Genomic DNA, 23,138 nt, shown 5'->3' on the forward strand with positions numbered 1-23,138 from the left:
GTTGCAGTGAGCCAAGATTGTGCCACTGCACTCCAGCCTGGGCAACAGAACGAGAGACTCTGTCTCAAAAAAGAAAAAAAAAACCTGAAAAATTGTTAAGATGATAAATTTCATGGTATGTGTTTTCTACTATAATTAAAACAGTTGTATAAATATTAGCCATTGTTATTTCACAGGTGAGGAAACAAGAGATCCCAACACAGAGCTGGACCCAAACCAGTGCTCTTGCCAAACATTGGAGGCCTCTGTGTTCCTCAGATTGAGGAGGTCCTGATGAGGACATTATGAGGGGCCCTGTTTTGCAGTTATCACCGCAGAAGTGGGCAGCACTCTCTGTAGGAAGTCTGGTCTCGGCAATCATCCAGCCAACTGGGGTTATCTCAGGTTATAACTTGGTTCTGAGGCCCCGACTTGCAGCCTGAAGGTGGCTTGGTTTACTTACCTACTGTCACATTTGGTAACGGCTGAAGGGTAGAAGGGTGCAAACCTCACTGTATTGTCTTATTACAATCTGCTCCTTGTCAACCAGACAGCTGGGTTCAGAGAAAGCTTAGAAGCCCATATAGAAAGCCTTGCGTGCCCTTGCGAGAGACAGAGTGGAGAGAGAGAGGAGCATTTACCAACTCACTCAAGCAGTGTAGCTTTCTCTGCAGGGAAAGTGTGTTGGTGACAAAGGGGTGAGGGTTCCCAGAACAGTCAGGAAGTTTATTTACTTAGTTATTATTATTTTTTGAGACGGAGTCTCACTCTATCGCCCAGGCTGGAGTGCAATGGCACAATCTCAGCTCACTGCAAGTTCTGCCTCCCAGGTTCATGCCATTCTCCTGCCTCAGCCTCCCGAGTGTCTGGGACTACAGGCAGCCACCACCACGCCCGGCTAATTTTTTGTATTTTTAGTAGAGACGGGGTTTCACCGTGTTAGCCAGGATGGTCTCAATCTCCTGACCTCATGATCCGCCCCCCTCAGCCTCCCAAAGTGTTGGGATTACAGGTGAGAGCCACCGAGCCCAGCCTATTTATTTATTTATTTTGAGACAGGGTCTCACTCTGTCACCCAGGCTGGAGTGCAGTGGCATGATCACAGCTCACTGCAGCTTCGACCTCCTGAGCTCAAGCAGTCGTCCCACCTCATCCATCTGAGTAGCAGGGACTACAGGCATGCGCCATCACGCCCGGCTGATTTTAAAATTTTTTCGTAGAGACAGGGTCTTGCTTTGTTTCCTAGGCTGGTCTCAAACTCCTGGCTTCAAGTGATCCTCCTGCCTTGGCCTCCCAAAGTGCTACGATGACAGGTGTGAGCCACTGCACCTGGCCCAAATTTCACCTAAGGGGGGTAGTGCTAATTAAAATGTAGCAAAAACATATTTCCTTGAAACTCAGTACATCCTAGTGACCATGCAGTAAGCAAAGTTAGGCATGCTGTATCTGTACAGTTGTCTCGTAAATAAAGGACACAGTTTTCTTGCAGCTGTATTCCAGTAGGCAGGTAACTGAAAAACAGACCTAAGGACATAGCTCTCTGCTCCTAGACTTCTGCCTGGTGTGCCAAAGAGATTAACATCCTGCCACCAGGAGAAACCATCCTGGCTGGGCCCAGGGCAAGAGGGCTGGTATAGCTCAGGGTAGGGCTGGGCACTTTTTGCAGCCCGGATGCTTGGAGAGAAGCACAGGGGTGGAACAGTGGCCAGCTGGGGGCAGTGCTGAGGAAGGGCTTGCCCAGTAGCACTGGGCTGGATGTCAGCAGTGGGGTGGGCCCTGGCTTGACTCGGTCTCCAGTGTGGCTCTGAATGAGTGGGGAGAGCTGGAGAGGCAGGCTTGAGTTTCCTGCTGTTCCCTATTTTGTAGATGTCAGTAGCAGATGGCAGATGCTCTGTGATGATGCAGCCATCTGCATGCCTCATTTTTCACTTGTCTGCGAGTCGCTCAGCCCAGGGGGCCCCATCCTTCACCTCAGTGGAACAGTACCCAGTTCACAACAGATGGGCCGTAAATGTTTGGGGGCTGGCTGACCAGGGCACCAGACTGGGCGGGGTGGTCTTAGAATACTTTTAAGGAAAATATTTTATATTTGATCTTCGTATTTGGTGAACTCTGAGTTATCAATTGTGACTAAAAATAGATATAAGATCAATGTAGCCTGAAGACGATGGACCCATTTTACAGTTATGGGCTCTCAAAATTCAAGTTGCTGCTGGTTCACCACTTGGAAAAGAATTCAAGACACAAAATCAGGCTGCAGGGACAACCACAGTATCATGGGGCTTTGGCCTCCACATCTCAGGTAACAGGAGTGAAGGGCCACTGGGATACAGACAAGAGGCTGCCTTCAGAGGAGGGACAAAGCCAGCTTACCGAGTATCTACTATGTTCTAGTTTGGGGATGATGGACTGGGTGCTGAGGATGGTGATGAGTAAGGCAGTGTTCCTGATCCCTCAGTGGGAGAAGGGGAATCACATTTTGTTAACTACAGGTAAAGGCTGGTGTCATGTTAGGAAGACTCTGGTAGCCACAGAGGGCAATAGGATACACATGGGTTTAAGTTTTTTATTTTTATTTTTTGAGACAGAGTCTCGCTCTGTCGCCCAGGCTGGAGTGCAGTGGCGCGATCTCAGCTCACTGCAAGCTCCGCCTCCTGGGTTCGCGTCATTCTCTTGCCTCAGCCTCCTGAGTAGCTGGGATTATGGGCGCCCACCACCAAGCCTGGCGAATTTTTCATATTTTCAGTAGAGACGGGGTTTCACCATGTTAGTCAGGATGGTCTTGATCTCCTGACCTCGTGATCCGCCCTCCTCGGCCTCCCAAAGTGCTGGGATTACAGGTGTGAGCCAGGACACCCAGCGGGTTTAAGTTTTTAAGACAAAAAAATTCAGGAGTCCTTAGTGTGGAAACACGGTTGTGAGCAGATACAATACAAACTCATCAAGTCATTCACTAGAACTAGAGTAACTAGAATTAGTCATTGCATCCCCAAATACTCATCAACTGTTTATTCTTACCACTTATTTCCCTAGTCAGAAGCTTTAAGGAGATAACTTTAAGCCAAGAACAATGCCTACAATAAGGAGTTATCTTATGAAAACACATTATCCCAGAGCAGACCCAGGCTGGAAATATTTAATACCTCAAGAAAGGCTTAGATACAGACCGGACCCGGTGGCTCACGCCTGTAATCCCAGCATTTTGGGAGGCTGACGCAAGTTGATCACCTGAGGTCAGGAGCTCGAGACCAGCCTGGCCAACATGGTGAAACCCCATCTCTACTAAAAATACAAAAAATTAGCTGGGTGTGGTGGCAGACACCTGTAATCCCAGCTACTCAGGAGGCTGAGGCAGGAGAATCACTTGAATACTGGAGGCAGAGGTTGCAGTGAGCCGAGATTGTGCCACTGCACTCCAGCCTGGGCAACAAGAACAAAACTCCCTCTCAAAAACAAAAACAAAAAAGAAAGCCTTAGCCACATGTTGTATTTGCAATGTGTCAACTAAGCCAAGTTGGAAACACATGTCCCAGAATTCCTTCCCTGCTTAGTTCTGGGTTAGCAAGGACCAATGACCTTGTGGAGATTTGAGAGGTGGAAACAATGTAGCAGCCACATTTTTTTTTCTAATTTTAGAGACAAGGTCTCACTCTGTTGCCCAGGCTGGAGTGCAGTGGCGTGATCATAGCTCACTGAAGCCTACGACTCATGGCTTCAAGTATCCTCTCACCTCAGCCTCTCAAGTAGCTGGGACTATAGGCATGCACCACCATGTGTAGCTAATTAATTTGTGTGTGTGTGTGTGGTAGTGATGGGGTCTCACTATGTTGCCCAGGCTGGTCTTGAACTCCTGGCCTCAAGCAATCCTCCTGCCTCAGCCTCTCAAAGTGCTGGGATTACAGGTGTGAGCCACCATCCCTGGCCCCTAAAGTGTATTTTAAAAAGATGCCTCTGCTTAACACGTTGGCAAGCTTCCCACCATAGATTTATTCCAAAGTAGACTATGAGGCCCATGGCTCTGCTGCCATTTCAGTTCCACCGAATGTGGGAATTCTAAGGAAGTACCAACATCTCCTTCCATACACCAAGAGCATCACTCATCATACTAGAAAAAGACCTATTTTAAAATGGTGCAAGGGCATCAGGTGACCTGACGGCCATGGGCAGGCTGCATCACCATTCTGGGTCCTCCCCATATTCTTGATTCTCCAAGGTTCCCTCATCTTTAGAAGACAAAGAATCCCTGCCTTATAAACTGTGCTTTAATTTTTCTAACTATAGGCTGCAGTTACCCAAACAAGATGCTGTCAAAAATCTTAAGAGTTGTATTTAACGCTGTCTCTTTCTTGCCGTGTATTATTAAGGTCACACGTGGAGATTCTGGGCAATTACAGATAGTGCCTTCTCCTCCCACAGAAATCTCCATGTCAGACATGTAGTAGAGAAAAATCTGAAGGGAAGTACTGAAGGTCTACCAAAACTTTTCAAGCCATCAGAGAATGTCCTTTTATGTACTTTCGTCAGTCACTGTCATTCAGATGCATAAGTAGCCAGCTGATGGAAAAAATACACAGCTGGGTTGGGGAATTCTGAGTTTCAGGATTTTGACTAACTGGCTCAAATTCAATGCGTTTTGTCACCAATACTGGAGATAGTCTCCAGCCCCAGAGAATACAGGCTTCACATGTACCATACTAAAAGTGGAGTTCAGTGTGCTGCTAAGGCCAAGTAAGTATAGACAAAGCCCTTCACTGGCAGTCCTCGTTTTGGAGGTTGTGCAAGCTGCCTCTGAATTTCTGAGATCACACATTTACAGCCAGGAATCTTCTCTGGCTCATCCTCAAGATCCCTAGGGTGATCATTATTTTCTTACAAAAAAAAAGCACGCAAATAAAGGGAATTTATTATGGTTGAGATAGGGTCTTGCTCTGTCACCCAGGCTGGAGTGCAGTGGCATGATCATGGCTCACTGCAGCCTCAACCTCCCAGGGCTCAAGTGATCCTCCCACCTCAGCCTGTAACTGGGCCTAAAGGTGCATACCATCATGTCTGTCTAATTTTTGTACTTTTTGTAGAGACAGGGTCTTGCCATGTTGCCCAGGCTGGTCTCGAACTCCTGGGCTCAAGCAACCTGCCCACCTCGGCCTCCCAAAGTGCTGGGGTTATAAGCATAAGCAACCGCACCTAGCTAGGAATTTATTTCATTACCAAATAATTTAACAGGGAGGAGGGAGAAATATAATTCAAATCCAGAGATGAAGCCAAGAATTCAGAGGGAATAAAGGGTGCCTAGAACCTGCATCAACCTGTCTGTAGACCTCAGAGGTCCTACTAAGTACCTTCCAGCACTGTGCCACCTTCTTTTGCAGTGTGAAAATGAGGATTTGCAGTATATGTGACATCTCCTTAGGCCTTGAGAGTCTGTGATGATGAGTATTGATGATATATGCTACTTAAGAAAGAAAATGCATGCTCAATATGGACCACCACCTTAGATAGCCTTACTTATGTTTCATATATTTATTAAAGGGCACAATTAAATTTTATTTTGCAAGTCGAGCCTACCTTAAAATCAGCTTAAAAAGGTGAAATATCCGCTGGCTAATGAAAAAACAAAACCTTTTTATTTTTCCCATTACTTGGTTCTTTTTAGCAACGATGCATTGTTCTGCCACTTTCACCCCAATGTTGGTTTCAGGTTCACCTTAGAGCAAAGTGTAGGATGATACTGTCCATTGCCGATTTTCTGATTTTTTTTTTTTTTTTTTTTTTTTGAGACCAAGTCTCACTGTCACCCAGGCCAGAGTGCAGTGGCACAATCTTGGCTCACTGCAACTTCCACTTCCCAGGTTCAAGTGATTCTCCTGCCTCAGCCTCCTGAGTAGCTGGGATTACAGGTGTGCACCACCACACCTGGCTAATTTTTGTATTTTTAGTAGAGACAGGGTTTTACCACATTGGCCAGGCTGGTCTCAAACTCCTGACCTCAGGTGATGCACCTGCCTTGGCCTCCCAAAGTGCTGGGATTACAGGCATGAGCCACTACGCCTGACCTCTCTGATGTCTAATTTCTTCAAGTTGGCCCCCACCATGGTTTTTTAACCAATATAGCTTTCCCTGAAAATCACTTAAGCAAAACCAAAAACAATGGGAAGTCACATTTTTTTTGGATTTATTTAAAGAACACACAAAAAAGTGCATCTAAATGATTTTTTTTTTTTAAAAACAATGTCTTTAATTCCTCATATGCTGACTTGGCAATCCATATGCAGCCTAAAAGGTGGTTGAAAGATGTCTGTGGACTTCTACACAAATTGTTTAAGATTATTGAATTTGATACAAGAATACGTGAAGTGTCTTCTTGAGTGGTAATGGGCACCCTGTAGTTATTTGCTCAGAACCACTCACACACCCTTCCCCTCCCCACACACACTTTTGCCAGTTCCCCCTGGTGAACCATAATACACACGTGGGAGACAGCTGGCATCATCTGAGTCTTGGAATAGCTTTCTTGTTTGTTATCTGCAAAAAGCTAGGTGGCCTTTTTAGTATCAAATTTCAATCTTGGCCTCACTGGAACCATGCTCTACAGAGCTTTCCCAACAGTTTAGCAAGTAAGCAAAATCAGCTTTTGCTCTTCATATTTCGTAGGTGAGACTGGGGCTTTTAAAAGAAATATTTCATAAAAAAGACAAAAGCATAAATGAGAAATTAGAGGGATTTTAGTTATCATTAAAGGAAAAAACTCACAAATTGATCCCATTTGTTCCATGGGGAAGAAAAGTATTATAAAAGGAAATAACTTGATTTTTAGGTTTGAAGGGGGTCCCAATCTAATAATAAAAGTCTTTTGATAAAACCATCATAAAAATAAAAACTAATTTAAAATATAACTGCCAGTGTTTTTTAGGATTTAAAAAGGTGAGATGTTCCAGGTTTAAGCAAATGGTTCCTTGGGTTGCCAAATGCATTCCCATGAGTGTTTCTTAGGCTGAGGGAATAGAGAGCCATGCTCAATCTGTTTACCCGTAAGGACTGAAATTCAACTACATGTACACATTTAAGACTTGCCCTAGTTCAATGGTCAGCTCAAGTACTGGAGATTTAGGCTACTGGCTGTGTACCGGCATGGGAAGCTGTCTTCAACTCTTTCACAACTCACGCCAGAACAGAGAAGCTTGACAGGGCAGGAAAAGCGAGCAACTGCGTGTCAAACCTGCAGGTGAAACCCCTAGTGTAGAAGAGCAACTATTTATTTGTCAACCCTACAGATTTTGTTTTTAAAAATTAAGCTTAGTACTAAAAAGTCAAAATTTTTTTGCATGATAGAGGAGTGTAAATAAAGTTCCATAAACCAGTATACATATGCTTATGAGCCAATAATCTTAAAAAGACAAAAAAAGCTGCATGGATCCTAAATGACTATGTAAATAGATCCACTCCAGGTCAAAAATATTGTAAGCACAAGTCTTAAATTCTTAATAGCAAGGATTAGAATGAAAGAAGAAGCTGAGCAGTAGCAATGCTGGGAGGAAGTACTGTGTATTGAATATTATTCCCTAAAAGGAATAGAGGAGGGGAGAAAAAGCACAATTCTGATTGCTCTTTTCACATTTCAGTATCTCAGAACTTCATCGAAAATAGGAAAAGCTAATCCAGAAACTCTCATCTGCTCATTATCATTGCTGAAGGGTGTTTTAGGAATGACAGAATTACTCCCCCAGGGACAGGCTGTGTGTGGTAGAAAGCCACTCTCACAAGGAGGCTGGCTGAGGAGGGGGACTTTGGGAGGAGGCTAAGTCAGCAAGCAAGTGGCCTCTGAGGTTCTGGCTTTCACGTCTGTGACACTGCTGTGGAACTGGGGAGACATGAGACCCCTCTACTGTGGGTTCTGTTGGTTAAAAATGCAACAGACTACATTTATAGCACTTCAGTCATTTAAAAAACAAAAGCTTATCCTCCTTCCCCTACCCTACCCAACTGTAGGAAAGGAGAAATTCATGAAGCATTTTTTTTTTAAAGGTTTCTGCAGTGCTATGAAAGTTCAAAGGTAAAACCTAACAGCCCCACATTGTTAGGATGATCTCCAGGGACCCTGAATTGGATACTTGAAGGTTGATAGAAACTGAAATGAGCTGGACTTAAGCTGCTGGCTCACTCCCTCCACACCACAGTCATTTCTGTTTGTTCCACCTGGAGTGGTCCCGTGCCACCCCTCAGTGAACCCTCCGGGCAGCAGCAGGGGGGCTGTTTTTGGGAAGCTACTGGTTTTGCCATTTGCTTCCAGAATCACATAGACTATAACAAACTTTACATTAAACACTGTTCTGTCCTGAGTTGGGGGAAAGCCCATTGAGGAGGGGCCGAGTTCACTGGGACTCTTCCCTCCTTGGCGTGGCGTCATACGTGGCCCTCAGGTTTCTCTTCTTCCATTGCTTGACTGTCTGTTCCTTTTTCATTAGTGACCCCTTCTGAAGTCTTCTTGCCCATTGCTTTATTGGCCTCTTCCTAAGGAAGAAATAAGCAATCAAGAAGGTTAGAGAATAAAGAAGTGAAATAATTCCTGGCTCCTCCAGACTGTGTATCAGGTCCCAAACACGAGGTATTGCAATGATTTTCTCTAGGATATCTAGCTGGGTAGGTCAGGGCTGTGCTACCAATAGTTAGAGTGGGAGCTTCACCTTTCTTTGGTTGACACATGGGACAGCTGTGGGATAATGAAGTCTGGGCATTCCTGGAGACTGGGGACAGGACCAGAATGCCAACTATGCTGTAGGGAGGCCGCCCTCTCTGCAGACAGACCTCTCCTGCCACATTTTTCAGGCTGGCTGCCGACCCTCAAGATAACAGGTGTGATGATGGGGCTCCTATAACATCCCATTTCCTGGGAAAATCGTAAGTCTTACTTGAAAAAAAAATCCTGATGGGTTTACAATTTTTCAAAAATGACAAAAGGGCTGGGCATGGTGGCTCATGTCTATAATCCCAGCACTTTGGGAGACCAAAGCAGGAGGAACCCTTGAAGCCAGGGGTTCGAGACCAGCCTAGACAACAAAGTGAAACCCTATCTTTACAAAAAATTTTAAAAAATTAGCCCAGTGTGGTAGTGTGCTTGTCCTAGCTACTCAGGAGGCTGAGGTGGGAGGATCACTTGATCCAGAGAAGTCAAGGCTGCAGTGAGCCATGTTAGCACGACTGCATTACAGTCTGGGTGACAGAGTGAGACTCTGACTCGGGCAGGGGCCCGGGGGGCGGGCGGGGGGAGTTGGTGCAAAATTGCTGTTTTTGCCATTGAAAGTAATGGTAAAAACCACAATTACTTTTGAACCAATCTAATACATCTGAAGGGAATTTAGTTTTCTCATCTCTCATGACGTGTGCCTTTGGTGACTGGAACTGCCCTACTCGACCTTTGGATCCAAAGCAGCCTCAGATTAGATTGGAAATCGTTTTCCCTGCTCTTGAGCCTCTTGGGTTGTTTAGCTGTTCCTGTCCCCTAAAATCAAAGGGGCATGGTCAGGCTCTTGATCCACCTGCAGTCATCAGGCTCTGCACACACCTTGGCATCCTGCTCTGCAAACTTCTTGAACATGTTGGCGTATATCCTGCGGTCCCGCTCGTTGTGCTCCTTGGCCTTTTTCTGGCACATGGAGATCTGCAGTCTTGCAGCCTTATTCTGGGGGTTTACTTCCAGCACTTTCTCAAAGTCACCCTTGGCTGACTCAAACTCGTTCATGAGCAGCTGGGCTTCACCCCTCCTATACAAGCCTTTCTCATTGGCACTGTCCAGTCCAAGGGCCTAGGAATAGATGGTCTATATTTTAGAAAGGACGAATTTTAATAAATTCAGTAAACAGCTTACCAAAGTTCTCTTGCCAAAGGAGATGGAAAAAGTGTATTTAAAAAAATGGGGCTCAAGATAATTACATACTACTGATCAAAATTTACTACCCAAATTATTTTCTGCATTTAATGCAATTTCTAGAAAGATCCCAAGGAGATTTGAGAGGGGGCTCTTGAGAAGTTCATTTTAAAGTTCATTGGAACAAATAAGTGCCCAAGAATGGCTGAAAAAATTTGGGAAAAAAGAAAAAAATAAGAGGCACTTGTCTTACCAGAGAAAAAGACAAACTTTAAAACTACTGAAATTAAGACAGTTTGGTTACTAGCATGTGGACAAACAGCTCAGTGGAACAGAACGAATCATTCAGAAACAGTCATGTGTCTGCATATAAAAACATTTGAAAATGACAAAGGTGGTAATGTGAATCAGTGGAGAGTTAACTTTAAAATAAACGGGGCCAGGATGGCAGCTATCCACATAGAAAATAAGAGTTAAGGCCGGGTGCAGTGGTTCACACCCTAATCCCAGCACTTTGGGAGGCTGAGGCAGGTGATCACCTGAGGTGAGGAGTTCGAGACCAGCCTGGCCAACATGGCGAAATCCTGTCTCTACTGAAAATACAAAAATTAGCTGGGCATGGTGGCAGGCGCCTGTAATCCCAGCTACTTGGGAGGCTGAGGCAGGAGAATTGCTTGAACCAGGGAGGTGGAGGTTGGAGTGGGCTGAGATCGTGCCACTGCACTCCAGGCTGGGTGACAGAGTGAGACTCTTGTCTCCAAAAAAAAAAAAAAAAAAAAGTTCTTACCTCATATTGTAAGCACAAAAGTAAATTCTAGATCAACCATATTTACATATTAAAAAAAACCATAAAATGTTTCAATTATTTTTTATTTTAAAATATGTAAAATATAATCATTATTTTTTTGAGGCAGGGTCTCACTCTGTCGCCCAGGCTGGAGGGCAGTGGCTCAATCACAGCTCACTGCAGCCTCTATCTCCTGGGCTCAGGCAATCCTCTCGCCTCAGCCTCCGAAAGTCCTGGGGTTACAGGTCACAGGTGTAAACCACTGTGCCTGGCTTCAGTTATTTTTATAATCTTGGTGTGGGGAAGTCTTTTCTAACTAGAAAGGAGACGACAAATCTGACTACATAAACATTAAAACCTTCTTTAAAGAGAAAGATATAATCAACAAAGCTAAAAGAAAATTGCTGGGTTGTGGTGGCTCACACCTGTAATCCCAGCACTTTGGGAAGCTGAGGTGGCAAATCACCTGAGGTCAGGAATTGGAAACCAGCCGGGCCAACATGGTGAAACCCTGTCTCTACTAAAAATACAAAAATTAGCCTGGTGTGGTGGTCGGCACCTGTGGTCTAAGCTACTTGGGAGGCTGAGGCAGGAGAATCGCTTGAACTCGGGAGGTGGAGGTTAGAGTGAGCCAAGATTGTGCCATTGCACTCCAGACTGGGTAACAGAGAAAGACTCCATCTCCAAAAAAAAAAAAAAGAGGAAAATAAGGAGAACAGGCTTCCTATTGCCAAAGATAGGGTTAATAGTGATGCTATATGACTGCTTCTGTCAATAGAAGACAGAAAAATAATGTAGTCAAGGCTGTGCTGGGTGTGGTACCTCACAACTTTAATCCCAGCTCTTTGGAAGACCCCCATCTCTACAAAAGTAAATTTAAAAATTAGCAGGGTGTGGTGGCATGCACTTGTAGTCCCAGCTACTCAGGAGGCTGAGGTGGGAGGATAGCTTGGGCCCCAGAGTTTGAGGCTGTAGTACATTATGTTCATGTGTATTAATAGCCACCGCACCCCAGCCTGGGCAAAATAGCAACAACTTGTCTCTAAAACAAACAAAACACACACACGCGCGCGCGCACACACTCTCTCTCTCTCTCTCTCCGCTCTGTATGAAAAAAACGAAAAAATACATATAAAATTAATAACTGGTCTTGGGAGAGAGGATGCGATAGGAAACACTGATCCACAAAATTCAAAAATAATCTCACAAAGAATGTACAAAATAGTTGCCTTGCTTTTCTTATCCTTTTATGTCTACCTTTAAGATACATCCAATGATTAGTTTTTACTTTTACCCACAGTATAATATATACTGTTCACTCTGAGACCAGATACCTAAAATAGTATCGGCTGGTGTATAAATATATCAGAACGATACATAACGATACAGATGATAAACCACTGTTATAGAGTACTGTGTGTAAGCACTCAAAAGACCAAAGATAGTATTAATAAGACAAATGTAAAAATAAAAAGGCTGCTGATGCTCTGTGGACCTTTCATATTATTTATGCATATCAGTGAATAAATGATTATAATAAAAATTGACCTATATATATGCTTTATATGAACAGTTGCAGTCTGTTAAAGTCCAGAAAAGCTTAAGTTAAATCTTCTCTTATTAAACTGAACCTGAGGAGTTATACGTCTACTCTGATATAAATACTACAGTTATAAGGAAGGTCGTGGATAAAAATTATTTAATTTTAATCAAAACTTTTCTTCAGAATGCATTATGATAAACAGTCTAGGTATCATAAAAGTCTGACTGTAATAAAAATCTTGCTGAATTTCCCAATTCATACTGAGAAACAAATAATCCCAAACATTCAAATAAATAAAAAAAAGCAAAATGAAAAATCCTGCAACCTTTGGCTGAGAGGAAGCAAAAGACAGAGATGGAGAAAAGATCTGGAGTATCTAAAGTCCATCTCACAGGAGACACGATGTTACCTTGTCACAGCATTCAACAGCTTTGGTGTATTCTCTAAGCTTCAGGTAGCACATGGCCAGGTTCAGAAAGGCAGCAAGGAGAAATGATTCAGAAGCTTTCGATTCCTTTTCTGATAAACCATATTCCATCTCTAACCAGGACACTATCTTCCCATACTGAATCACCGCCTGCATGTATTTGCCTCCCTAGGATAAAAAAGCGTCATTACTTGTACTCAGCTCTTGAGGGGGTACAAAAGAAAAGCAAATCCTCAAAGTGAAGCAACCCCTCCAGCAAACCCTGGTACAGCTGGTTTCTTTCTTTCCTTCTGGAGATGGCTCTCCAGGTACCTTTCCCACTCCCTTGGAGGCCTCGATGGCCTGTGGGCTGGTTTGGGGCAGTGCCTGAGCACTGCCTAGTGCTGCTCTGCAGCATTTCCATCCGTCCCTTCAGCAGGTGTAGTACAGCAAGGCTTCTGGGCTATGTTCTTTGGTGCTAATATTCTTTAGTCTTTTTTTTTTTTTTTTTTTTTTTTTTTTTTGAGACACAGTCTCGCACTGTCTCCAGGGCTGGAGTGCAATGGCGCCATCTCAGCTCACTGCAACCTCCGCCTCCCGGGTTCCAGCGATTCTCCTGCCTCAGCCTCCCGAGTAGCTGGGGACTACAGGTGGCCGCCACCAAGCCCAGCTATTTTTTTTTGTATTTTTAGTAGAGACAGCGTTTCACTATGTTGGCCAGGCTGGTCTTGAACTCCTGACCTTGTGATCCGCCTGCCTTGGCCTCCCAAAGTGCTGGGATTACAGGCATGAGCCACCACACCTGGCCTATTCTTTAGTCTTTCAAAAGGATTGTGAGCAGTTTTAGACTATGCCACTAAAAAAATGAAAAGGAAGTTACTTTTCTTTTCAGCACTTCACAGCAAATATTACATTCTGGCAAGTGCTAGTTCCAAACACAGCCAATCCTATTTGAACCAGTCTCTGTTGCAACTACTAAATTCTTATCATTTGTAGTGCAAAAGCTGCTCTAGACAGTATGTAAATCAATGGGTGCAGCTGTGTTTCAGTTAAACTGTACTTACAAAAACAGGCAGGGACCAGATTTGGCCAGCAAACTGTAGTTTGCTGACCCCTGATCTATAGGCAATGGGAATATGAATAGTTGGATAGTAGCATACAACATAAATAACAACTATAAAACAATATACATCAGAAAGGTCTGTCAGTTATATATAATATATATAAATATAAACATATATAATATATATATAATATATATATATATACATGCTCATATGAGAAACGCTGGGGGCTGAGCACAGTGGCTCATACCTGTAATCCCAGCACTTTGGAGGCCGAGACAGGTGGATCACCTGAGGTCAGGAGTTCGAGACCAGCCTGGCCGTCTCTACTAAAAATACAAAAATGAGCCAGGCATGGTGGCATATGCCTGTAATCCCGGCTACTTAGGAGGCTGAGGCAGGAGAACTGCTTGAACCTAAGAGGCAGAGGTTGCAGTGAGCCAAGATCATGCCACTGCACTCCAGCCTGGGTGACAGAGCGAGACTCCTCAAAAACAAAACAAAACAAAACAAAACAAAACAAAACCCCTCCAGGGCTGAGACAATGTGTCCACTGTGATTTTAAGGTAAATGAAAGCACTGGGGAATCGCTGGTAAATACGCAAATAGAAACAGGAGTACAAGTGGGGATTCTCCTTTGAGGAGGTGATAAGCTCAAAACCACAGATGATACATCCTGCCAGATGGCAGAGGAGCAGCCAGACCTATTAGGACATTAAATTCAATGCCTGACCAACAGTGTTAAGACCATGTTACTAGGATTTACCACAGCCCAAGCAGCGCGTACATCTCACTGCCGAGTTGTCTCTCCCCACAAATACTCCAACCCTCACCCAAGGAGTCTGAGTAAGAGAAAAACCATAGAGCAGGTCTAAGAGGACATGCCTGTGATACAGGACTTCAAGTGGGTGATGTAAGAAACGAGCTCTGCCTGTAGAAAGGAAGCCCTGGTGTGGATTTTCTGGTGATGAAGATGGGGCAGACCTGTTCCAGCTGGAGGGCCTGGGTGTGAATGAGGGCCAGGCTACATCCCTCGAACATCCTTCTTCCCAAGTCACTCACTTAGGAGAGGGAAGACTGGCACTAAAATCAAAGTCTGTCACCCTCTCTGCCTCAGAAGTGTGTGATACAGGTCATTCATAAGAACACGAAACCAGGGCATTTTATTTTAAATGCTGAAATTCTTGAGGAAATTAGATTTGCTATGGACTGAATTGTGTCCCCCATCCTAAATTCCTATGTTGAAGCCCTCACCCCGAATGTGATATTTGCAGATGGAGCATTTGGGGAGGGAATTAGGTTAGATGTGGTCATGAGGGTGGGGCCTCATGATGGGATTAGAGCCTTTATAAGAAGAAACTCGGGTGCTTGCTGCCCTCTGCCCTCTCTCCACTCACATGCATGTGGAAAGGCCATGTGAGAACACAGCAAGAAGGGAGCTACAAGGAACCAGAGGAGAGGCCCTCCCCAGACACTGATCCTGCTAACACCTTGATCTGGGACTTACAGTCTCCAGAAGTAAATTCCTGTTGTTGAAGCCACCCAGTGTATGGTATTTTACTGTGGCAGCCCAAGCTAAGACAATACTTAAATTTTGTCATAGTCTTAGGCCTACCACTCCTTTTTTGGATGCTACAAAAAAAAAAGAATAAAGTCCTCACCAGTTTCAGGTCGGCATTTTCTTTCTGTCACTGCCTTTTCTCTTGCTGGTCTTTGAGGACAGGCAGCATTGTCCTCTCCCTTTTGGAATATTCAGGGTTTAGCACCAAGAGGTCTTTAATAAAGGTTTGTTGAGTAAATATTGAAATCAAAGGAATGTAAATATGGAATCAAGACTTTTTCTAAAGTGGTGTGGTGGCTCACGCCTATAGTCCCAGCACTTTGGGAAGCTGAGGCAGGAGGATCTCTTAAGTCCAGGAGTTCGAAGCTGCAGTTAGCTATGCTTGTGCCACTGCACTCCAGCCTGGGTGACAGAGTAAGACCCTCTCTCTCTAAAAACAATACCAACAACAAAACCTTTTGCTATCATTGGGAGCAAAAAATGTGTGGGTGGAAATGAAAAGTGTTGTTTCACTGAGATGAGATAGGAAGGACAGGCATTTCCCCTGTCATGCCTCATTTCTTCATCCTCTCTCCTCCTCCCTCTCTAATGCATTGATTAACTTAACTTTTCTGATTATCTCCTAATATATTGTATAGGGAAAGAAAAGAAGAGCCAGGGAGGACAAAAACCTAGATCTTAACATTTCAATAAGTTCTGAATAATCAGAATGGTAGAAGGCCATGGTAAAACAAAACAAAACACAAAAAACAGGTATTAGACTTCTTAATAGTTCCTTCACATAGGGCATTTTAATTTTTTGAAAGCTCTTGCATATATATCATGTAACTTTATTTAGACTTCAACTTCCAATTAGCGAAAAGTCTGTCTTGTACTCCCTGCTTCTGAGGTACTAAAGCAGTTCTCAACTGGGGGGTGATTTTGCCCCCCAGGGAACACCTGGCAGGTCTGGAGGCATTTTTAGTTGTCATAACTGGGTAGGATGCTACTGGCATCTAATGGGCAGAGGCCAGGAATGCTGCTAAATATTCTACAATGCACAAGACAGCCCCACACAATCAAGAATTATCCCACTCCAAATGTTGATAGTACTGAGGTTGAAAAATTCTGCACTAAAGGAAAGAGATGAAAGACAGGGTGGACTCTTCTTAGGAATTTTTTTTAAAACATCAAATCCTAGAGTCATAAACGGCTTGTTTCTAAATCACATTACTGGTATCTTGGAACAGCAAGGGTGGTGAAAATATAGCAAAGCCCGATTTATCTGAAGAGTTTAGAGGTTGAACAATTCTCCTCAACTAGTTTGTTTTAGAAATGCTTTCTTCCCAGGAGAAGCACAAGGGGGCGCAAGAATCCCACATCACTTCAGTGTTCTTAGCCTTCTTGCCACTCTGCTGCCAAGTCAGAAAAAAGAAAAACACTGACCAGGTGTGAGTTAATGCTCCTGTCCTGCAGAACACTGTCAGCTATGAGGGCAAAAATCGTGTCTGTTTAACTCGCTTGCACAATGCCTGGCTTAATATTATGCTGTTACCTGTACTTAATAATTATTTTCAGAGCCAAATAGAGTTCTCTATTTTTCTTCTCTTTAGTATTCAGAGGTTGAAATGAGGACTTTACATCTTCAATGGCAAAATCATTCCCACTTAAAAGCTGAGTACAATTCAATCCTACTCAGGAGAGAGGCTTTACCCATTTAGGTATAAACCAAACCAACAGATCAATGGAAACAGAATTCCAATATGCAGATGGCATGAAATACAGATCTTTAGTTCAGCCCATCTCTGCTCTCACCTACACATCTGGACTCTGTGCAAATGCATAACATGCCAAGTCAGACACCCTGGAAAGACAAGGCCCGGGAGGGCAGTATGGCAGATTGAAACCTGCCCTGAGTTGGGAAGGGAATATGTACAGGAAACTATCTACTAACCATTTTGAAGTTTTACAGCTAACGCTAGGACTACTGCTGGGATCTTTTACCTATAATTATAAAGGTGCCTCCAGGGAAGTTTTTAGTGGTACAAAATGTTCAGAGACATTCTGGGAGAAAAGTCTCAGGTCAGTGGTTTTGAACCTTTCATTAATTTTTCCCCAATGGACTAATGTTTTGAAAAATTTTGCCTATCAAATTCCATGTTAAAAATAATTTTTTCCATGTGTGTGACTGCTGATCCAGATTTTATCCAAAGATTGGTAATTTTAAGTAGGTTCATAATAGTATCACTCTTGCAGTTGTGATGCTGATAAGCAACAAAGTTAAGTAACTGTACAGACACTCATTGCTTTCTGCTACTGATCACTAATTCTGGCCATCTCTCTGTATATATTCAGAACACAGCTATATGACAGATGGCTTCATAACATTATTTCATTACCAATAATGTTCTCCAAAATTCTGTATCATAGCACCGATTAGAGCCTCTGAATAGCTGAGCTGTTTTACTACACTGAATCGATATAATTCTAGTCAAAGGCCAAAAGCCTCAAATCTTCCCAAACTGTTAATATTCTATTTGGAAGTATTGAGGAAATATATAAAATATAGTTAAGGATTTTTATGGACTTCGGAAATATAGAAAATACTGTTAAGGACTCACGATCTTAAGAAATTTTGTAGAAACATTTTTCCCTCTAGTGTATTATGTATTTGGATATACAAATAACCCACTTGGAATCTTACTTGAATAGTTTAGAAGTATCCAATATACCTCAATTAGAATTAAAAACAAAACAAAACCAAAAAAATAACACTTGTTCTTGAGAGTTTAGAAACTCACAGAAATTCAGGCTGGAAAGAAACTTGGGGAACATCTAACTCCCCTATTTTTCACTTGAAAATATAACCTCTTTGGACCTTAAATGACTAAATCATTTGAAGAGCAATAAAGCCCATTTTTCCCAATTCTGAGCTTATTCTATCATACCCCCATGCTTTCTGGTGATCCATAAGAGTTTAGTATACATAGTAAATAATGATAAATAACATATTTATATATTTATACTTATCTAAACCCATGATTTAAAATTTGTTTGAATACCACCCACAGTAAGAAATATGCAATCCAGTACTTACTCATACACAAGCAAAGTTTTATGCAACAAAACTGATCCTTATAACATATTGCAATACACTTCCACAAAACTGATTTCATGACCCAATATTGTCTCAGCTCAAATTCTGAAAACACATGGTGCCCTCTGGCTGTGTTAATTTTGGGTTGATTATATATTCTTACATAATTCTCTAGTTGTTTCATTTGGATTAACATTGCCACTCCTCCCTCCTGACAAGGTTGTAACTTAATAATAGCATGTCTTATAGCAGATGCCCCATAAAGACTTGTTAAAGTACACTTATGCCTCACTGCTTTATACTGCTGAAAAACATCTAATTTCTGTATTGCAGTGGCAGAAAACGAAAGAAACCTTGACAGAACTCCCATTCTCCCTCTAATTCTCATCACTAAGCCCTTTCTGCTTGACATGGAGAAGGCATATATTTGGGGTGGGGAAGCAATGGGTAGAACACTGATTAAAACAGAATGAAGGGCGGTTTCTTTTTTTCTTACATCTAGAGGTTTAAGATCTAAGTGAGAAAATATCACACTCCTAGTTGCTCCAAGAAGGGTTTCTGAGAAGCAATTTATGATGAATATCATTCAGGAATATCCGGAGATTCCTCATAAAAGCAAGTGTGCAGGAATCATCTTGGCCATTAGAAGCAATCAATACTCTCCTGTCAGTTTGTTTTGAAATTTGTGCATGTCCTCTCTCCTTTTATCATATGCTCTAGTGACTTCATCAAGACAGTCTAAAGGAAGATGGGCCCGGTGCAGTGGCTCACGCCTGTAATCTCAGCACTTTGGGAAGCTGAGGTGGGAGGATTGCTTGAGGCTAGAAGTTTGAGACCAGCCTGGGAAAGAAAGGGAGACCCTGTCTCTCATACAAAAAAAAAAAAAGGAAGAAAGAAAAATGATGTGAAACTTACCCTTATGAATTCCATTCTTTGCTAACAATTATTCTATTCATTCTTTTTTCATTCCAAAAACACTTGTTGAGTGCCAACTATGTACCAAGCAAGATGCTTTAGGAGTGAGTGATACTGTGGTGGGTGGGGATGCCAGACCTGGTCTGCCTGTATGGAAGGTTACAATCTAGAGCAGAATGTGTAAAAGAGGAATCTGTACTTTTTTTTTTTTCCACATGATTGTTTTCTCACCATTTTTCATATTGAAAATGACAGATTTATAAAAATTGCAGCTTATTCTTACCAAGCAGTGTTGACAAAATTCAGAGTAGGGAATATCAGCACAATTCACCAACACTTGAATAAATTCTTTGAGATGGAAAGGATTGCATAGGGACTCACACACCTTGAAGTATACGGTTCCCTTCTCTTTGACAATGGCAGCCTGCTCCAATTTTTCTTTGGTATCCATCTCCCAGGATTCTTTGGCCTGTGTGTAAATTTGTGACAATGGTTAGATGAACAGAGAGAAAAGCATCAGTTGAGGCCTATTGGAACAAAGAGCAGCTAATTCTAGAAGATACTCCAAACTGAAAACACTCTGGCTGTTGAAATTGTGTGTCAGTGCCAATTTACTGCTAGGCCAGTGCTTCTTCATACTGTTTGAAGAACTCACTTTCCATCATGACCAAGCTGTAGCTTGAACAATGTTGCTCAAGAGAGAGGAGCCGCAAAAACACAGTAAGGAACGTACTCTGGTAAGCACTGCTACAAAGTGCATCTTTAGAAATACAAGGTGAACCCACACAAAGTTAAGGCCATGCCTTATCTCCCTCTGCAAACCTCTCCACTAGGCTGTTTCTCTCAAGCCTGTTTTTCAACTCTAAAATGGGAACATGACTGTAGTCAAGTTGTAGTTTGTATATTCATACAGAATTTTCAAAATTCTGGGTCAGGTTGTCTTGCCACTCTAAAACAACCAGATATACTAATAATACTGCTAAATTGTATCAACTTGCAGATGTATACTGGGGGGGACTTCAAGCAAAACATAATTGGGAGTAAAGCTCATGCAAAAATATCACTTTAGAGCCATAAATAAATGACTTCATTATCATCTGCTAGCTTGTATTGTGTGTATTATTACTTCCACCATTACAGATACAAATCCAGAAATAACTGCACTTGCCATTTACAAGCTGGATTTAGAAGGACCAGAGTCAAGAGAACAATCTGGGAGCCTTTAGGAAAAGTGACAGTGGGTGTGGTCAGTGCTATTTACTGCATATAAATTATGAAGTTTAAATGGGTAACTAAAATTCTCTCTATTCAAAAGATAACGAGTGTGTGTTCCTGGTGTCACAGCCCCTGCTATCCTCTACTTTTATTATTATTATTATTATTATTTTTTTTTTGAGACGGAGTTTCGCTCTTGTTGTCCAGGCTGGAGTGCAATGGTGTGATCTTGGCTCACCACAACCTCTGCCTCCCGGGTTCAAGTGATTCTCCTGCCTCAGCCTCCGGAGTAGCTGGGATTACAGGCATGCACCACCATGCCCGGCTAATTTTTTGTATTTTTAGTAGAGACGGGGTTTCTCCATATTGGTCAGGCTGGTCTCAAACTCCCAACCTCAGGTGATCCACCCACCTCAGCTGGGATTACAGGCGTGAGCTACCGCGCCCAGTGACTATCCTCTACTTTTTAAAAGTGAATAATAAAAGGGTTACTCATCTTTCTGGCAACTCATGTAATTCTGCTTCCTAATAATGTAGCTCAAATTACTCAAAAACCTAGTTATGGTTCAATTCCAGGTTTTAGCACCCAAAAAACAAAAACAAAGAACACCTAGTTAATAAGTCTCTTTGTATTTCTTAGGTTGGCTTCAGTCTTTATGGAATTTTTTTTTATTTTTTCTTTTTCTAAGACAGGATCTTGCTCTGTTGTCTTTTCTTTTTTTGAGACAGGATACTCTTTTATTTTTTCTTTTTTTGAGACAGGATCTTGCTCTGTCGTCCAGGCTGGAGTGCAGTGGCACGATCGCGGCTCACTGTAGCCTCGATTTCCCAGGCTCAAGCAATCCTCCTGCCTCAGCCTCCCGAGTAGTTGGGACCACAAGCATGTGCCACCATGTCCAGCTAATTTTTTTTTTTTTTTTTTGGTAGAGACGGGGTCTCACTATGTTGCTCAGGCTGGTCTCAAACTCTTGGGCTCAAGCCATCCTCCTATCTTGGCCTCCTGAGTAGCTGGAAATATAGGAATGTGCTACCACACCCAGGAAAATTTTAAATTTTTTTGCAGAGAGGGGGGTCTCACTATGTTGCCCAAGCTGGTTTTGAACTCCTCGGCTCAAGTAATCCTGCCTTGGCCTCCCAAAGTGCTGGGATTTATAGGTGTGAGCCACCATGCCTGGAATATAAGTATGTGTGTGTATGTGTGTGTGTGTATATATTTATATATATATTTTTATATATATATATATTTTTATATATATATATATATATTTTTTTTTTTTTCCTCTGAGACGGAGTCTTGCTCTGTCTCTCAGGCTGGAGTGCAGTGGCATGATCTCGGCTCACGGCAACCTCCACCTCCTGGGTTCAAGCGATTCACCTGTCTCAGCTTCCCGAATAGCTGAGATTACAGGCACCTGCCACCACGTCCAGCTAATTTTTCTATTTTTAGCATAGATGGGTTTTCACCATGTTGGCCAGGCTGGTCTCAAACTCCTGACCTCAGGTGATCCACCTACCTCGGCATCCCAAAGTGCTAGGATTACAGGCGTGAGCCACAGCGCCCAGCCTGGCCTAGTCTATTCTTAACAAGGCAGAGGATTAAATCACATTGCCCCAAACAACATCATATACCTTCATGTGATTTCAAATATACCAAGCAGCAGTGCATGAATATACTCTTGGAGTGATGACAGAGCACAGGCTTGCTGTGGCACACCACTGGGAGAGTGCTCCTAAATAAGCAATGTCCACTGGGCCACGAGAAGGAAGGGGCAAGAGGCTGCTTTACAAAAATGGAAATAGTAAAGCCATAGGTCTAAATAACCACATGCTAAAGATTATCTTCTCTCTCTTTAACAATAAAAAAACACCATATGCTATGACAACAGCATTGGGGGATCAGTGCTGAGCTAGCAGGCCTTCAGAAGAGGTTACATGACAACAATCAGTGGTCATAACCAGACATATGTTTGTTTGGGGGAACATGAAGTAGAAGAGGTATGATTAGGAATGTCACTACTGGGGGTGAATCCCAAAGCAGGCCTCCCCTCACTTTCTTAGCCCAAAGGTACAGGCCCACAGGACAATGATTTCTTTTCTGAATCTAACAAAATATAAATGGTCATGTTTCCATTTATATTAATGTGCTTAATGTGGTCAGGCACAGTGGCTCACCCCTACAATCCCAGCACTTTGGGAGGCCAAGGCAGGAGGATGGCTCAAGCCCAGGAGTTTGAGACCAGCTGGGGCAACACAGTGAGACCCCATGTCTACAAAAAATAAACAAAATTAGCTGGGTGTGGTAGCGTGTGCCTGTAGTCCCAGCTACTTGGAAGGCTGAGGTGAGAGGACTGCTTGAGCCCAGGAAGTTGAGGCTGGAGTGAGCTATGATCGCGCTCACTGTATTCCAGCCTGGGTGACAAGAGTGAGACCCTATCTCAAAAAAAAAAAAGTTGAATGTACAGAACGTGGAGGTAGCACTGTGCAGGAATAAAAAAGGAACACAAATGCAGTCCTTGAGCTCCACAAAGGGTGGGGCTTTGGAAATGCCAGGGGCACGTGGCCGAAGACAACAGCATACCTAGCTCAGGTATATGCTGTGTGTGTCCAGGTCGGCTGCTGCTGGGAGCCTCCAGAGTGAAACTGAGATGGAAATATGTTCAAGGAGGCATGCTGTTTCTGGAATCCAAGGCAACTGACAAATTCTCTCTCTTCTCTACTTGGAGAAGTATA

At 43.0% G+C, this 23,138-nt stretch overlaps 1 protein-coding gene across 4 annotated transcripts in view, besides 2 other annotated features; it reads right to left on the minus strand.

Moving 5' to 3' along the window:
* Nucleotides 1,751-2,251: an enhancer, noted in NCBI's record as "H3K4me1 hESC enhancer chr6:35536983-35537483 (GRCh37/hg19 assembly coordinates)". NCBI's record gives its function as "activates a minimal SCP1, AML or CMV promoter by ChIP-STARR-seq in primed H9 embryonic stem cells {active_cell/tissue: H9 hESC(primed)}" and the evidence as "EXISTENCE:reporter gene assay evidence [ECO:0000049][PMID:30033119]".
* The window catches only part of FKBP5 (FKBP prolyl isomerase 5), a 154,994-nt gene continuing 137,990 nt past the window's right edge, over nucleotides 6,135-23,138 (minus strand). For 3 of the 4 annotated variants that reach the window (NM_001145775.3, NM_004117.4, NM_001145776.2), the window contains 4 exons: nucleotides 19,579-19,662; nucleotides 12,581-12,766; nucleotides 9,539-9,778; nucleotides 6,135-8,487 (listed from right to left, as the gene is read on the minus strand). In NM_001145775.3, coding sequence (NP_001139247.1) covers nucleotides 8,380-8,487; nucleotides 9,539-9,778; nucleotides 12,581-12,766; nucleotides 19,579-19,662 — 618 coding nt within the window. In that variant the 3' untranslated portion in view covers nucleotides 6,135-8,379. Of the gene's footprint in view, nucleotides 8,488-9,538; nucleotides 9,779-12,580; nucleotides 12,767-13,101; nucleotides 19,663-23,138 lie in introns of those variants that run through there. The other variant, NM_001145777.2, reaches the window with a different exon arrangement.
* Nucleotides 14,423-14,623: a silencer, noted in NCBI's record as "peak5768 fragment used in MPRA reporter construct". NCBI's record gives its function as "represses an SCP1 promoter by STARR-seq MPRAs in K562 erythroleukemia cells {active_cell/tissue: K562}" and the evidence as "EXISTENCE:reporter gene assay evidence [ECO:0000049][PMID:32103011]".

The sequence above is a fragment of the Homo sapiens genome, chromosome 6 (assembly GCF_000001405.40).
Source record: "Homo sapiens chromosome 6, GRCh38.p14 Primary Assembly".
Classification (NCBI taxonomy): Eukaryota; Metazoa; Chordata; class Mammalia; order Primates; family Hominidae; genus Homo; species Homo sapiens.